The 17,458-nt window shown below is 37.0% G+C and overlaps 1 protein-coding gene across 15 annotated transcripts in view; it reads right to left on the bottom strand.

The window, feature by feature from the left end:
* NTRK3 (neurotrophic receptor tyrosine kinase 3) overlaps window positions 1-17,458 on the bottom strand; it is a 396,989-nt gene that overhangs the window by 17,888 nt on the left and 361,643 nt on the right. For 13 of the 15 annotated variants that reach the window (XR_001751292.3, NM_001243101.2, NM_002530.4 and 10 more), the window contains one exon: window positions 2,632-2,790. Coding sequence is in view for 14 of the 15 variants with exons in the window: in NM_001243101.2 (NP_001230030.1) it covers window positions 2,632-2,790 (159 nt within the window). In the remaining variant the exon portion in view is untranslated. Of the gene's footprint in view, window positions 1-2,631; window positions 2,791-8,055; window positions 8,098-17,458 lie in introns of all 15 variants that reach the window. The other 2 variants (NM_001012338.3, NM_001375810.1) reach the window with 1 other exon arrangement.

Consider the following 17,458-nt stretch of genomic DNA (forward strand, 5'->3'; position numbering starts at 1 on the left):
TTGCCTCTGAGTCATTACATAGGACCCTTTTGCAGCAAGACCCATCCTTCCCTGCTGCTTGCACTAAACCATGCTTCCAGTTTCTCTTAAAGTCCTTAACAATAGGACTAACTGCTTGATTCACCACTGCCTTCTGGGTGGCCAGTTCAAGTCTGTTAACCTCAGGATCTCAGCATGTCCATCTGTAAGATGGAATCAAATGTCTGCCTTAACCACCCCCAGGAGTGTTGTAAGGATGAAATGAGACCACGAAAAGGGACTGTATGGCCCAACATACTGAAGGAGAAGCCATAAGGAGGAGTAGGAAGAAAACAAGTAATGCATGCCTGGCCAACCCCAGCAGGCCACTTGAGACCCAAGTGTATAATTTGCAATGCATTTCCAATTCCTCAAAGATAATTCTTTACTGACACTGAATATATGCATTTTCAAGGCTTCATTGTCTAGTTTTTAGGTTGGTTTTCACTTCTCCCTAACTCTACCACTGCATAACTTTGGTCAAGTCACTGACCCCGAACTTCAGTTTCTGCATTTAAAGATTGGTCATAATGATAAAAATACAAAGAATAATCTCTAGCTCAGCAGCTGAACAAATATTATTTCCCTTCTCTGCCACCATTAGTCTGTATCTAATTAGGTAAAAGCACTGTCTTTTTTCTCCTTTGCATGTCCCTACACTGCTCAACAGTGCCTTGTTTCCAGTATTGTCTCATGTCACGCTGACTTTGGGAGGGCTGGTCAAACCATCACTGTGTCAGCATCCGCCTGGTTATATTCACCCTGGAGTTTACGATGGCCCCTTGGCTCATTTCTTTACCAGCCTGATAAGTCTCCAGCTGCTTATATTCCCCATTCATATTAGAGACCCATTTCCACCCTCCATTACCTTCACCTCCAGGAAAAGGGATTCAGTTCGAACTACAGTAGCAGCTGCTAATGCCAAGATCAAAGGCACCTGGGAGTGTCTCTTCTAATGTTGGACTATCCAGGTTTGTTGATTTCCATGGAGAAACCGATGATCAGAGACTGTCAGTATGTGGCTGCTATGGTGGGTGGAGTGGGGGAAGTGGCTGAGGGCAGAAAGCCTGCCTTTAAGGCCAATGCCTCTGTGAGTCTTAGAAGAAACTGCAAACACCCTGTTAGCTGCTATGAGCCAGCTCAAGAACAGATGCTGAGTCTTCTGTTAAGACCAATAGCAACCTCAGCCCAGAACCTCTGTTTACTGGGGCCACCAAACTACAAGGAGGCAGTGTTCAGGTGCATGCATGGTGTGTGTGTGTGTGTGTGTGTGTGTGTGTGTGTGTGTGTGTGTGTGTTCCTAACCCTTCCTCCCCTGCGAAAACAGTAACAATTTCTTAAACACCATAACAAATGGGTTCTAGTATATATACTTTCATTATTTTAAAAGATTGTTAAAATATTTTGTTCTACTTTGGGAAATGTGGTCAGGCCCCACTGAGCTTGTGAATCATGAGATAGTACACGTTTTAAAAAATAATTTCTTTTCAGTCTTTGTAATTCACTTAATCAAGTGGTCAAGACATAGGAGAGCAGAGACAAACATAGCTTCCAAGAAGAAAGACACTCTGTTGAATATTCAAATAAGATTTCAATACCAAAAGGGTCTTGTGTTTACATTTTCCCAGCAAACAGAAGACCATAAAAAGAATTGCGATGTTTCATAGGGATGTTTCATAGGTCGACTGGGTTGAAAGACTGAGCTCCTTACTGCCTACAAACTGCACTGAATTCCCTGGGGCAACATGGCATGGTCCATGCATCACTGAGAAGCATCTTGATGGGCTTTGGAGGCAGAGGAGTCCTAGGATTACAGCCCAGGCTTTGTCCCTGCTTTGGAGGCTCTTACCTGTGAGACCCTGGCCAGCCCATTTCAGTACCTCAAGCAGACCCCCTTCCTTTAACCTGAATCTCAACAGGTGTTTTTGCAAAAATTACTGAATTAATAGAGCTAACATGCTTAGAAAAGTGCCTACCACTAAATGTCAGCTACTATTAATTTATGTTTACTAGCATTTTTTATTATTGCAAATTACAATTATAAAAAATATAATGGCTATTTATTACTAAGTTTAACAGTAAACATACTAATAAACATAGTAAAAACATAGTAATAAAATAAACACGGTTTATTTTATTCCTAGACGTTCACACATGACTCTACCAGTTATAAAACTGGTCTTCCCAAATTGACCATCTGGTACATCCCTGGGCTTGGCATACCTAAAACCTTTGTGCACCCAGATTATGTGGGCATACTAAGTAGTGGGTGTTTCCACAAGATGGCACAATTGAAAAACTCATAGCTGTTCTGTTTTCCTTTTTTGTCATAGTGAAACATTTGTGATTTTTAAGGGTAGCAGATTTAACAGAGGCATGACTTGAGTCTCAATTTAGACCTCTGATTTCATGCTCTTTTGACAATTACACCACATTTCCTACAGTTCCATTTTTTTTTTCCTACTAAGAAGCTCTCTGCTCCCACTAATGCCTGCATTCACTCTGCTGGCTCTAAATCCCACCTAATGTCTTGTTCAGTAGGTCCAAGTTCTGGGCTGAGATAGCTCTTATGAGCCCTCCCCCAATCAAGATTCCTACGCACCCCCTTTTTACCTCCGTGTTTGAGAGTTGGAACCATGGCTGCTTTCCATAGGTGAAGATCTCCCAGAGGATCACCCCGAAGCTCCATACATCACTCTCTGTAGTGAACTTCCGGTACATGATGCTTTCAGGAGGCATCCAGCGAATGGGGAGCATGGTGTGTCCTCCCACCTAAAAGGGGTTGAGATAGAGGCACACAGAGTGACCAGATGGCCAGAATGAGTGTTATCTGTCTGCACTCTTCACACATAGATGCACTCTTGATGCATCCTATTCTAAGATAGTCACAGCTTTATGCAACTTCTATCAGAGGTGTGTGAAGATGCTGACTTTGGAGACCTACGATAAAGGAGACAGCTAGACTAGCAACTAGAGGTAACACCTGAGGGAAGGTAGGTTCCTTGGCACTCAGTGTGTAGAAAGATCAAGGTAATCTGAAGTGAGAGAGAAGGTTTCAGAATCTAGCACTACAGAAAAATCTAACCTTAAGAGCAAGTCCAGCAAGAAGTCAGCAGAATGACTAAGCCAGTCACCAAGGATCAGTATCTGCAAACATCAGGTTAGATTCTTGGCTGCAGTGGCACAGTATATTCCATGTGCATCTGATCTGCAGAACTTTAGCTTCTAACTGACAATCTCGAATCTCTCACCACAATTTAGGACTCAGTGTTTCAAGTGAAGGAGACAGAGACATTCCAAAAGCGTGGAAGACCACGTGCTAATAAGGTAGGAGATGGACAGAAAGAGAATTCACCACAGTTCTTAGTAAGATCTCAAAGGACAGTAGGGAGAGTCTTTAAAAATAGCCTAAGGAGGATATCAACCACCTGTGAATCTGCCAAACTGAAAGCCAAGGGGAAAAGGAAGTGACTGACAAGGATAAACACCCAGGGTACCCTTTACTGAGAAAAACATTAGGGAACTCCTCTTTGCCCAGCAGGCTAGAGATGTTAGCATAAGTGGGAGAAAATTCACAGCATGTGTGAAAACTCAGGAACTAACTGCATCATTAGTAAATAGATTTTCAGGAACTGAAACTTTTGCCTAATACATGGAACTCATTGTTAAAAAAACTACTTAATATTGAAAAAAGAGTTGTCTATTTATGTCCGGATGAGGTATTACTTAAAGTTCTCATTTCCTTCTTTCTTATTTATTTATTTATTTATTTATTTATTTTGAGACGGAGTCTCGCTTTGTCACCCAAGCTGGAGTGCAGTGGCGCGATCTCGGCTTACTGCCAGCTCCACCTCCCGGGTTCACGCCATTCTCCTGCCTCAGCCTCCCGAGTAGCTGGGACTACAGGTGCCCGCTGCCACACCCGGCTAATTTTTTGTATTTTTAGTAGAGACGGGGTTTCACTGTGTTAGTCAGGATGGTCTCGATCTTCTGACCTCGTGATCCGCCTGCCTCGGCCTCCCAAAGTGCTGGGATTACAGGCTTGAGCCACCGCGCCCGGCCTAAAGTTCTTATTTCTATGGGGGGTCAGTTAGAGAAATAATAACAATGAATAATTAAGAACGAATAAGTTGGGAGATGGGCAATCTTGTTTCCAAAAAGGGAAATCATGTTTGCCTTAACCACTTGAAGAATTTTAGGAGGTAAATTATAATACAAGTTTGCAGAGCAGTTCTTTTCTTTTCTTTCTTTTTTCTGAGACAGAGTTTCACTCCTGCTGCCCAGGCTGGAGTGCAGTGGCGCGATCTCCGCTCACTGCAACCTCCGCTTCCTGGGTTCAAGCGATTCCCCTGCCTTAGCCTCCTGAGTAGCTGGGATTATAGGCATGAAACACCATGCCTGGCTAATTTTTGTATTTTCAGTAGAGACGGGGTTTCACCGCATTGGTCAGGCTGGTCTCAAACTCCTGACCACAAGTTATACACCCACCTTGGCCTCCCAAAGTGCTGGGATTACAGGCGTGAGCCACTTTGCCTAGCCAGAAAAGTTATTTTCAACCTGGGACTTTCTAATCAGGATAGTTTTGTATCCAGTGTAAAGAAAACTGAAGATACTTCTTTCAGACAAGCAAAGACTCAGAAAGCTTACCACTCACATCCTTTCAGAAAATATAGGAGCCAAGCTAATTGAATACATATTCTAGAAAAACAGTAAAAATAACCCAAGCTATGCAATTATTGGAACATAACAAAAAATGCAGAGCAAATAAGCCACAAAAATGCAATTTAAATTTGAATAATGGTTGTTAATTTGGTAGTAAAAGTAATACAATTACTAATAAAGGCTTCCTGTAAAATAGAGACATAAAGTAAATAATAATACTAATAATGCTATTAGTACTACCACTGATACAACTAACATACTTATCTGGAATGAAACTTTCCAATAATTTCAACCATAAATGCATAGAAGAGTAGATATAGAAATAATTAAAAGCCTGATAAAGGCTGTATGTTATAGAAAGGAAAAAAGAAGCTTACAGTGATTAATTGTTGAGATTAACACTTTAAATTTAAATATGCTTACTAAAATTTTAAAGTAGCTTCTAGAATAGAAATAGTACATATAGCTTTCAAACCGTTTTTTAAATAAAGCCAAAATCTTTAACTAATACCAAAAAGACTACAGAAAGGCGGAGTAGGATAATGATGACTAAAAAGCACAAAATGAAAATGAAGCTTAGAAAACACCACTAGAGACAATAAGTACAAATGAGTTATATCACCTCTTAAATGAGAGAGAAATTTAGGTTAGAAAAATCAAGTTGCATGTTATTTAAAATAGACATGTCTAAAACAAAATGGCAGAAAACATTGAAAATGGAAGAGTGCTAAAAATACAACTATACATAAAAGAAAAATATAATTGGCTACATATATGCATATATGTGCATATACATGTATATATATATATGCATATACAGATATATATAGCCAATTACATTTCTTTTATTGTGATTTACACGTTGTCTGTTGTTTCATATATATGTGAAAAAAAGGATTCAAAATGTCAAAAACTAAAGTAAGACTAAATAATTTATATTAAATTTATATCATAATTAATATTATATTTAAAGCTGGTAAAATTCACCATTACGATGATGAAGTTTATGCTCCAATTAATATAGCAACAATATATAAAAATTTATAAAAATATATAGAAATAATACATATATATGTATATGTGTGTGTATATATATATATAAAGAGTAAAAACAAGTTATAAATAAAAGAAAACTGACAAAGCTATCATTATAATGGAAAACTAAAATGCTTCACAAATTGAAAGATCAAGAAGACAACATAAATGAAGATACACTTTAAAAATACAAATAATGGGTTTCAATAAGTAGATATGAGTGTTGTGATTGTGTGCATCTTTCAGCTTCCTTAAAAAATTGCACATTATTTTCAATTACCTAAAAAAAGTATCAAAACCAATCACATATTAAATCTCAAAGGAAAACTGGAATTCCAAGATAAAAAATAAATATGAAGTAAAAATAAGAAACATTTTCTGTATCAAATATAATAAAATAAAAGTTAACAAGAAAGAATAATTTTTTAAAAGTTGTCTTTGGGCAATTAAATTATTTGGTAAAGAAAAAACTGAAAATAAAATGTAAAAGTATTTATTGTAACAATAACTAAAGTCCTATTTCTTGAAATCTATGAAATATAACTGAAGTAATTTTTGAAAAAAAAATTACAGCATTTAAGCATTTATTTTTAAAATAGTGAAAATATAATTAAATTAATAAGGATTCAGCAAGAAAAAAAAAAAGGCAGTAAAGATCCACTAAACAAATGCAAGAAAAGTAAGAAGAAATAAACAATAAAATAAAATAAATACTGATTAATCAGTGTAAAACAAACAAAGCAAAACAGCCAGCCAAAAGGAAAATAAAAATCAGAATTGATCTACACAATCAATTGTTAGTTCTCTCAAAAGTTACATAAACTTTTGGCAAGATTAATAAGGGATGTAGAGGAGACAAATGTAAAATGTTAAGACTATTACATCCATAAATTTGAAAGTATACATGCATTATTGGTTTACTAAAAATATTAATTTTTTAAAAGTTAAATAGAAAAGTTGAATACAAAAACCATAATTGTAAAAAAAATCTATACATTAAAAAACTAGAAGGTTCAGATAGTTTTCTGGTTGAGTTCTATTAAAGTTTTCTGTCTTATTTATACTTTTTCAAAGCAAAAAAAGATAGAAACTTTCCCAAACCATTCTATGTGGTTTAAACGTCCCTGAAGACAAAATCAGTCAAATTTAACATACAGCCTTACATGTATATTTACATAATAAATATCAACATACATAGTTATCTATATGTGTGTAAAACTATGTTATGAATATACTCTCCAAATACAAATAAAATATTTATCAAATCAGCACTATATTACAAGAATTCCATATTATATATAGCTCAATAAGGTTTACCCTAGAAATGTAAGAATGTCTCAACCTTGGGGAACCTACTGTTAAATTTACTAAATTAAAAGATAAAAGAAGAAAAACCATATTTTCAAAAATGCCAAAAATTTCCAACATCTTTTTCTGATTAAAAGTCTAATTCATAGAAGGTAACTTCCTTTATTAAATATACTAAATATCATATTTACTGACAAAACGTTAGGAAAATACAAAGTATCTTCTATCACGAATTTTATGTGACATTTTTCAAGAGGTCCTAACCAATGCAATAAAGCAAGAATTTTTTAAATGAGGTAGAAATATTGAAAACAAAACGTCAAACTGCCTGTTGTATGGATATGATATGACTATTCAAGACAATTAACGAAAAAGCAGTTAGAACCATTATATGATTTAGCAGCCTACCCAGAAATAAGAGAAACACACAAAAATCAAACTATTCTCACATGCCGGTGGCAATGACTTCAAAATACAATGGAAAATAAGATTATTTGTACAATAACAACAGAAGTGTTTAAAACACCTCAGCATAAACCTTAGCAGAAAATGTCCAAGGTTATTTAAATAAATGCATTGAAAAACATAAAAGAGGATCTGAACAAATGAAAAGTTGTGTCATTTCCTTGAATAGGAAGACTCAATGTTATACATATTTCATTTCTTCTTTAGATTAATCTGAAAAGTTAACACAATATATATGAAAACCCAAATGAAATGGTGTATGGAAATTGACAAGATGAACCCAAAATTGATCTAAAGTAGTAATTATTTGATAAAAACTAAGATATACTTGAAATAGAACAATACGGGAGAGTTACTCTATCAGATAGCAAAGCATTTTATCAAACTATGTAATGAACACATTGCATTTTGGCATAGGGTAGACAAATTTATTAATGGAACAAACTAGAGAGTCCAGAGGCAGACCCATGTATAAATATTGGAATTTAATATATGAAACAATGGCTTAGTAATTAAAGTGTTGGGACAATGAACTATTCATTAAAAAAAATACGCTTAGATACCTACCTCACACCATATACAAAAATCATTTCCAGATGGATTAAAGAGCTAAACATAAAAAACAAAACAATAATAATATTAGAAGAAAACTTAGAAAAGTATTCTTTATCCTCAGAAAAGGAAGGCCTTCCTAAATAAGACACATGTTCAAGAAGCCATCAAGAATAAGATTTAGAGATACAACTTACAAAAATTAAATTCTTTTGCATGGCAAAAGACAACATAAGCATAGCTAAAAGACAAATGGCCAAAAAAGTACAATATATGTAACAGACAAAGAATTAAAATCCATATAATACAAAGTGCTCCTTCAAATTAGTTAGGAAAAGCAACCCAGCAGAAAAATGAATACAGGGTAAGAACAGATGATCCACAAAAGGACTAGAAATGGCCACAAACATATGAAAAGATGCCAATTAAAACAACAGAAACACATTTCTGAATGTCAATTGGGAAAGACTGAAAAAAATTGTTGCTATCTTGTGTTTGAGAGGGGTGAGGAAAGAGTTATTCTCAAATGCCACTGGTGAGAAATGTTTCTGCTTTTTCTGAGGGCAGCTTGGTAGAATCTGTCAACATTAAAGGTGCAAGTGACTTTGAACCCAGCAATTTCACCTCTAGGAGTCTTAGAAAGATAATTCACTCAGGTAAGCAAAAATACTGAGTTAAAGGTGTTTATTTCATTCATTCTAAAGGCAAAAATTTGTTCACCATTAAAGTTATAGGCAGCAGTTAAAAAGAATATAGTAGAGCTATGTGTACTGATATGTAAATATATCTAAGATATATTAAGTGACAACACAAGGCATTGAAAAATATATTGTAGTATTCTTATTCATGTAAAAATGTATATGTGGATACAGATGCAAATATATAGTGATACCATGTAACCTTGAAAATGCATAGAAAAATGTTCGGAAAACCAACAAACCAGTGGCTTCCTCTATAGTATGTGAGTAATGACCAAAGAGAAAAATCCCACTTTTTGCTATATATATATATATATATATATACATATATACACACACACACATACACACACACACATAAACACACACACACACATATATATATATATTTCTATGCTGTTTGAAATTTTGTGATAATCATGTATCACACTTGAAAATTTAAAAATAGTAAAAAAAAAAGTGCGAATATAAGGAAACCAGTGGACCTAATTTAAGTTCTATTTATCAAAAAATTAATATTTTTAAAAGAAAAATTATGTTTGTGATAGAATATCATAGACTGGTTTATTGCACTTGGTTTGTTGATGTAAAAAAAATAGAAGTCAGGAATATAGGAACATTTCTCTTGATGAAAATTTTTCAATAACAGAGTCCTAAAAATTGATGCTGGTGTGTATCTCATTTCATAATTTTAAACACAACCCAGAAGAGGTATTCCAGTTTGAAAGCCTCAATTTTACAGACAGAAATTCAAGTGTCCTGGGTGTAAACTGTAATGCACTTAAGTATTTGAGCAAAAAAGTGTCAGAAGGATATTAATTGGTCATGGAGACTCCCCTGAGAAGAATCTTCAAAATTCTAACCAAGCAGCACAACCAATGTGGATGAAGTTTATACTGCATTCTTCCAGGAATGGACTATTAATAAAATATTTCAAGAAGCCTGTGATACAACAAAGAGCATGATGTTGGAAGTCAGAAGCCCTGGGTTCTAAATGTCACTTTTGACAAGCACTTAACACCCTGTGCACTTCAGTTTCCTTATCTTCAAAATAAGAGTGAAGCAACAGCCTGCCTAAAATGAGATTATGTATGTAAAAACCCATTGAGCATCGTTAAGTGCAAAAGTATATACACAAAGTACAGTAACTGTTCATTGTGTGTGTCTTTATATGCTACTGTGCAGCATAACAAACCTAATTTCCTCAAATTTCCTTATTTCCCATAAAAATCCATGCTGATCTTCCTCCAAGGTGACCAATACCATTCTCTGGAGAGACCCTGTCTGGGAAAGGTAGTGGTCAAAGCCTTCCCCGGTAAAAAATTATTGACAAATACGTCCCATGGTAAAACTTAGCCAGACATAAACTAGCCAGAAACAGTAATATGAACAATAAGAATAGTGCTAATTAATTAATAATGAGTGCTGGCCACAGCATGTTACATACATCCCTTATTTAAGCTCTCTCCATTCCTGTGTGATAGAAGCCTCTATCATCCCCAAGTCACAGATGAAGATAGGGTACCTTGCCCAAGCACTGCATAAGAAATATTAGCTACTGACCCAAGCTCTCAATGAGATAATTAAGGATTTTAAGGCTGAACCCTGAAAAAAGAGATGTAAGTAATAAGGCACAGGAAATATTCCAAGGAATGATTCTAGAAATAAAAATAAGTACTTGGAGGGAAACAGATCTTTGGATTGCACTGGGGAAGAGCCCACGGCTACCTTGGTACCTTCCACCGATCATTGCCTTTCCCTGACCTATCACACATGCTCACAAAGAGGATGAGAGTTTGAAAAATTTGGGAGGCTGAAAGTGCTCACGGGGAATGAGCACTAATTAAAGAATGCAATCCTGGTTGCATTATTAAGACCGTTTCTCAGAAAAATGACCACTCCTGGTACACTACGGATCAAGCTGGAGCAGAACGAGAATGTCACTATCTCCATAAAATTCCTTTTATACCCAGAGACCAGATGGGTTCTGAATGATTCCAGATTTTGTGTAGAGAGACAAGAGGTACCTGATCAACTCAGGCTTTAGGATATCCATGTCAAGGTCAACTACAAACCAAGAACTTACAGGAGAGCATCAAGTGCCTATTCCCAAATCTGGCCAAGCCAGAGAAGCTCAGTCTCTGTGAACTCTGAACCTTCCCTGTAAGCAGCTTCCTGATGATTCCCATAGTCCCTTGGCAGGGGGTGACCTTGACCCCTTTCCCACCAATATTTTGTTAAATGCTTTTACTAATTTGCTTCACACGTTAGCAGGGCTGCCAGATTAAACACAGGATGCCCAGTTAAATTTGACTTTCAGTTGAACAACATTTTAAAAAATTATACTTATGTCCCAGATATTGCATAGAACATACTCATACTAAAAATATGTTGGCTTTTTTTTTTGTCTAAAATTCAAATTTAGCAAGGTGTCCTGTATTTTTATTTGCAAAGTCTGGCAACTCTGGATTGCAGACCTGGTGAGGAAGTTGACATTATGCTCCAGAACATCCTCCTTTTATCCGCTGGGCTTTCTGCACGTGTGCAGGCTCTATCTCACTCCTTTTGGCTCTGCCTCATCCTAAAGAAGACTGATGAGTTAGGGATACAATGCACAGAAAAACTTTCTTCTCTCTCCTCCTGTGCTCTTCCCAGCCTTCTCCCCCTGTTTCTCCTTAGCATCCTCCAGTGGGGTGAATGTGGCAGAGAGGGGACATGGCAGCCAGGATTTTCCCCTATAAACACAGCTCTGCTACCTTCTAGCTGTGGATCCCTGGGCAAGTCATTTTTCCTACTTAAGCCTGTTTTCTGGTGTGAAAATGGAAGGGATAACTATATTCACCTCCCAGGGCTGTTTGCCTGATCATAAGCACCTGGCATGCTTGTTAAAAATATAGATTCCTAGGCTTGACAGCAAACCCAATGAATTAGACCAGAGGTCAACAAATTATAGCTTGTCATTTGTTACTGGAAACAGAGTTTTACTGGCATAAAACCATGCTCGTTAGTTTATTAGTTCCTTTTTTTTTTTTTTTTTTTTTTTTTGAGACGAAGTCTCACTCTTGTTGCCCAGGCTGGAGTGCAGTGGCAGGATCTCAGCTCACTGCAACCTCCACCTCCCGGGTTCAAGCAATTCTCCTCCTTCTGCCTCCTGAGTTGCTGGGATTACAGGCACATGGCACCATGACTGGCTCATTAGTTTCCATATTGTCTATGATTGCTTTCATAATGCATGGGCTGAGTTGAATAGTTACAGAAGAGATCACCTTAAAGTTGCAACAGGGGCCACCTGCAAAGCCTAAAATATTTACTATGTGATCTTTTACAGAGTTGGGTGGCCCCTGACTTAGACTCAAAGGGTAGGAGAACCAGAGACATATGGTTTTGTTGTAGTGTTATCAAAATACTAATAATGCCTTAACACCAAATACCATTCAGTGTCAAAAGTTCCCAAATGTTTTCAAGTGATTTTTGAAAGTTGGATCCAGAAAAGATCCACACATCACATTTAGTAATGTCTCCTATGGTCTTAATCTATAGGATTCCCCTACCTTCTGCCCCAACTTTCCATTTATTTATTTATTTATTTATTTATTTATTTATTTATTTATTGTTGATGATCCCGGGTCACTTGTCCCAAAAATTTCTCAAAGTCTGTTTATTTCACTGTATCCCCATGGGTTATTTCACCTGTTCCTCTACCTGCCGCATTTCCTATAATCAGGAACACTTGATGATACCTGACCAGGTATCCAGAGCCCTGATTAGATCTAGGTTCATAAATGGTGCTGTTTGCTTCCTTCTGTAACACAACACCAGGCAAACTTCTTTGTGATGTTAAGACTGATCAGTGGATTCAATCTGATATTATAAAGTTCCCTTTCACCTAGCAATTTTAGCAGTCACTGATGATCACTGCCCAGGTCCATTATTTCTTTAGTGGCTGCAAAAGGGAGACATTGTAATTATAGTATTCCTTCTGCATATATTAGCTGGAAATCTTTTATAAATAAAAAGTTCCTTTCATCAGCTATTTGGCTACACTGGAAACTGTTTATACAGGACCGGTAAGATAAATTCATTCTCTTTATTTGCTAGTTATTAGAATAATGAATTCATCCCATAGCATCCTCCAGAGGTGACCAATGAGAGGTTTGTTTTGGTTTTGGAAAGCATTACCAATGCTTGTTCTTTACACACACACACACACACACACACACACACACACACACTTGAAGTGTTTCATTCTATTGTAGTTAGTAGTTATTATTTCTGATGCCTGGTGTTTCATCTTTGGGAAATGAAATCCTATGCCTGTGTCTTCTCACATAACGCCAATAAATAGTCTTCATAGCATCCTTGCTTTCTGACATAAAATAATACTCTAGGCTCATCTTGTATATTTCCCACTCCAGCCTTTGAATCAGCCATATCTCCAGGGATTCCTGGATCCTTTTGGAGGGCAATGGAATTTAAAGACCACAACATGGATCGTTGGAGTGCTCATCTCTACTGGGGTGGTTATTATTTCTAGGTCTTTGTTATAAAAATAGCTAGGAAAAAAATTTCTTAAGAGAAAAAATATCATGACTTCTTATTGATTTTTCTCATATCAAATTTACAGAGCTTTTACTTCTTTAATTTTATGTTTGTGTTCTTTCTCATGCAGAAAATCTTGATTCCTATTAACACTCATAATATTATCTGCTTTATCCTAATTTGTTTAAATAATATACAGTATATTAGAGAGAGTTTCAAAATAACAGTTCAAATATTATTACTAATAATATGATTACTGAAAACAACCTTCAACCTACAATCTTTGCAGCTCTTTCTGTCCTTAGAATCTACCTACTAGGGGCATGTAGAAAACATAGCTATGTTTTAAAGTCATTTGTAGTAGCTCCTTTCTGTGTGGTGAAGCCACCAGTGTAATACACAATTAGGCTTATTTGTTTCATGTTTGCTTTTAATTTTTAGGACTTGCTTTGTTTTTTATTTTGCATTTGATTTAATGTTGCTTTATAATGATGTAAAAACTGAGACACTGTTTCAAAGTCAAAACCACAAAACAAGGTACATTCAAGCAAAATTTTGTCCCATCTCTGCTCAGTCTCCTCACCCTGTTCTCTTCCTCCTACAGATAACCATTTCTGTTTGGTTTTAGTTTATCTTTCCATTGTTTCTTACATAAGCAAATATGGATTTACATTCACTTCATCCCTATCTTAGATAAAATGTAACATACCATATCTGTTCTGTTCTTGGGTTTTTTCACTGAAGTTCACTCATTCTTTTTATAGCTGTAGAGGATTCCACTGTGCTTAAAGATGCCACAGTTTCTCCCACTAACCTCCTATTAATAGGCACTTTGATTGTTTCCAGTCTTTTGTTATTGTCCATGGGGAAGTGCACTTTTTATATATACCTCATGTTATCCATACACACCCTGAAGAGCAACAGCCACTGTCCCATGGGATGAGGTCTAGAATTTCCGTGCCATGTAATAGGCAGAGATACAGTACAGTGTCCATGCAAGAGGTTTCAAACCAGAATATGCAGAACATGAAGTCTATCCAGCGTGTACTCAGGCAAGGATAGTTTTGAGGGACTTTGCAGATGCACAACTCTCACATGGATTTTTTCTAAAATTAAATGCAGAGCCCCTGTGAGCCATCAATCCCTTGTCCAGTTGCCCCCATCCCCAACACACACACACACACACACACACACACACGCACGCACACACCACTCTCCAAAAGGAAGGACAAACTTCTCACCCATTCTAAATCTCAGGAGTGAAACCCTACAGAGTACAATGGAAGGAACTGTATAAAATACTGGTACAGGTGTTGAAAATGAATCTCTAATGATTGGGGAAATATCTGTTTGCAAGTTGGATAGTTTTCAATTATTTTCAAACGACTGGAGAGGGACAAACTTAAAAGAATTATCAGCTGAGAGAAGATTGAAAGTAATTTTTGATAAGAGTCCAATATGTGATTTTAGGAGTATAACTAGATAATAGTTCAAAGAATTGAGTTACATTTCAATAACAAAATGTCTTTCTTTTCCATCAATTTATCTTTCTTAGTTTAAAACAATATTCATTAATGAATACATGAACTAATTGAAAATATGAGATGCATTTCCATTAATATTTTACATTTTATCTTTTATATTCCTCAAAAATTGATATGTATATTATTTTGTCGACGACTTTTTTGTGCATCACTAATAATTATACCTTAATTTCCAATTTCTGTGTATTACTAGTAATCATAATGATAACTCAAACCAAAAACACTTAACATCTAGAAATGTATGATCATTGGCCATTAAAAGTTAAATTTAAATCTTCATACATATTTTTGTCACAGTAAATTATGATAGAGTGGCCAATAAAAGGATTTCATGCATAAAAATATATAAAGATAAAATTCAGTGGGGTAACTGCAATGAAAATATAAATTCAAGGAACAGGAGCCATGTAAAACTGACTGTTTAAGAACTTGTTCATGTGTTTAATAGATGATGTACCAAATTGCTCTGGTACTTAAAGTTCATCAGATGTGTTAAAGGAATGATGTATTTTTAATGTCAATATTTACAATATTCTGGAAATGACATTGAATGCAACTATTCAAAATTACTTTGAAGATTTTTGATGGCAACTTAAGATGTGCAACGGACATATATATTTTTTCAACATTCTTATAGGAGCATAAACATTTCAAGACCACAGGTACAGAGACTGAGCATTTAATGGTGCAAAGTTCAGAGTCCTGCTCCTCTTGTCTTTCCCCAAGGCTGTATCGTACCCCTCCTCAAGCCATCAGCTCTATATACTGGGAGAATGGGACAGGAGGGGAGCAAGAGCAGCAGTTCCACCTCCAGCCCTGGGATGCCTAGCTGAAACCCCCAAACCCCATCTTTTTCATTCAAGTCCTTAGGGCTCACACTTTGCCCCACTCCTCAGGGCCAGAAATAAGTGGTGCAGAAGGTGTTCGAAGTCTAGTGGCTACAAATTCTCAGGCTCCAGGTTCTACTTGGGGCAGAATGCCCCGCATGGCAGTGTTCCACTCTGGGGAATCTCCTACCTCCCAACTCACCCAACCACAGCTGTCCCTCCTCTTCTAAGCCAGCCTTTCCTGAAAAGAGAATTGTCTTGCTCATTTCCATTGAGTGACTGCAACTTTTCTTCAGTTAGAGGGAACCCACCGCTTTGGGTTAAATAGAAACTCAGCTAAGTTCTACAAGGTTCTCAGGCTTCCGCATCTAATTACAGAAGGAGCCAGCTGGTGGATTCCAAAAATCACAGAGAAGCCTGCTTCTCACTGAGAGGTTCAAAACATCTATACTCACACAACTCCGATGAGGCATACAGGACACGAAGTAACCCATATTCCAGATAAAGAAACCGAGACCCAGCAAAGATGAGCAAGCGTGGATTCACAGGGCATAATATTTCTGGAACCAATGGAGGGATTCAAGCTTCCTCTGTATTCCCTAATCTGCATGGGCTGAGTCATGAAGTACATGAGAAAGCAACTCATCTACTTTGGAGGAGACAACTCTGAAGAGTGGTAAAACCTTGGCAACATATGTTAATGATAAATGGTCTATCAGGAGATTGTCATAAAGGGTGTCATTTATGGTAAGTGCCATTTTTTTATTTATTAAAATTTAATCTTTCTTGATTCCATGTCTATTCACATAGAAAAGTGGTTATGTGCATTAAGAAAACATGAAAAACTAAATCTATGCCTTCGTCATTCCCTGGGAAGTCTGGTTTCCCACATGCCCCAGTGGCCTTGGCCTGTTCCACCTTGCTTGGCTGTCTGAGGACGGCATCAGCTATGGCTAGCAGTCACCTTGAACATGATCCCACTAGCAGTCCCAGCAGCCACCATAACAGTCTTTAAAATCATCGGCACTCTTGGTCCAGAGGGTTTGGGAATTCACTTGCATGGCTGCACATAATGGGTTAGCTACATGTAATATACATACACACATCCATACACTGTGGGGAGGTGGTTTAGATGGACATGTGTGTGTGACAATGCATGTGCATCGTGTGTACAGTCATAGATACAGACCTGGGCCTGTCGGTCCTGCCCTGATCATTCCCTGATGGTATGGGGTTGGTGAAACTTCCCTTGGACATTTCCAGAAATAAATGGCCTAAATGGAGGAGGAAAGACCCAAAGTCTTCCTCTAATGTGTTCTGTCTCCAAGCAGTGAAGAGAATGCTTTGGTTTTAAACTAGTTAATCAGAATGATATAGCCCTCCTTCCTGGAATGAACCTTTCTCACTGCCCCCCTTCTCCAACTGTTGGTATGTCTCAATAGTTCCTTCCCCACATATGCAAGAGGCTGCCAGAATCTTAGAAATAGCAGCCTGGTCTTCAGAAACTCTCCCCTAGTTCCTACCTTTCCTCCTCCTCCCCTGCTCTACTCTCTCCTCACTGTCTAAGACTATTCTGAGTTGTGGATACTGGACACTGTATTTTGAACCAGTTCTTTGGCTCTCTTCTCAGCCACCTGATCATTTATTAGGCATATCTCTTTGGTGGTTCATCCTACTTTCTCTCCAGATATCATCTGGATTCCTGGTATATCTTTGTGGGGGTGGGGAGCAGCCCTACCCTGTAACTGTACCTTGTCCAGCTCCTCAAATCCAAGTTTCTCAGAACCCAGGGCTTGAAAGGAAAGATTCA

The sequence above is a fragment of the Homo sapiens genome, chromosome 15 (genome assembly GCF_000001405.40).
Source record: "Homo sapiens chromosome 15, GRCh38.p14 Primary Assembly".
NCBI lineage: Eukaryota > Metazoa > Chordata > Mammalia > Primates > Hominidae > Homo > Homo sapiens.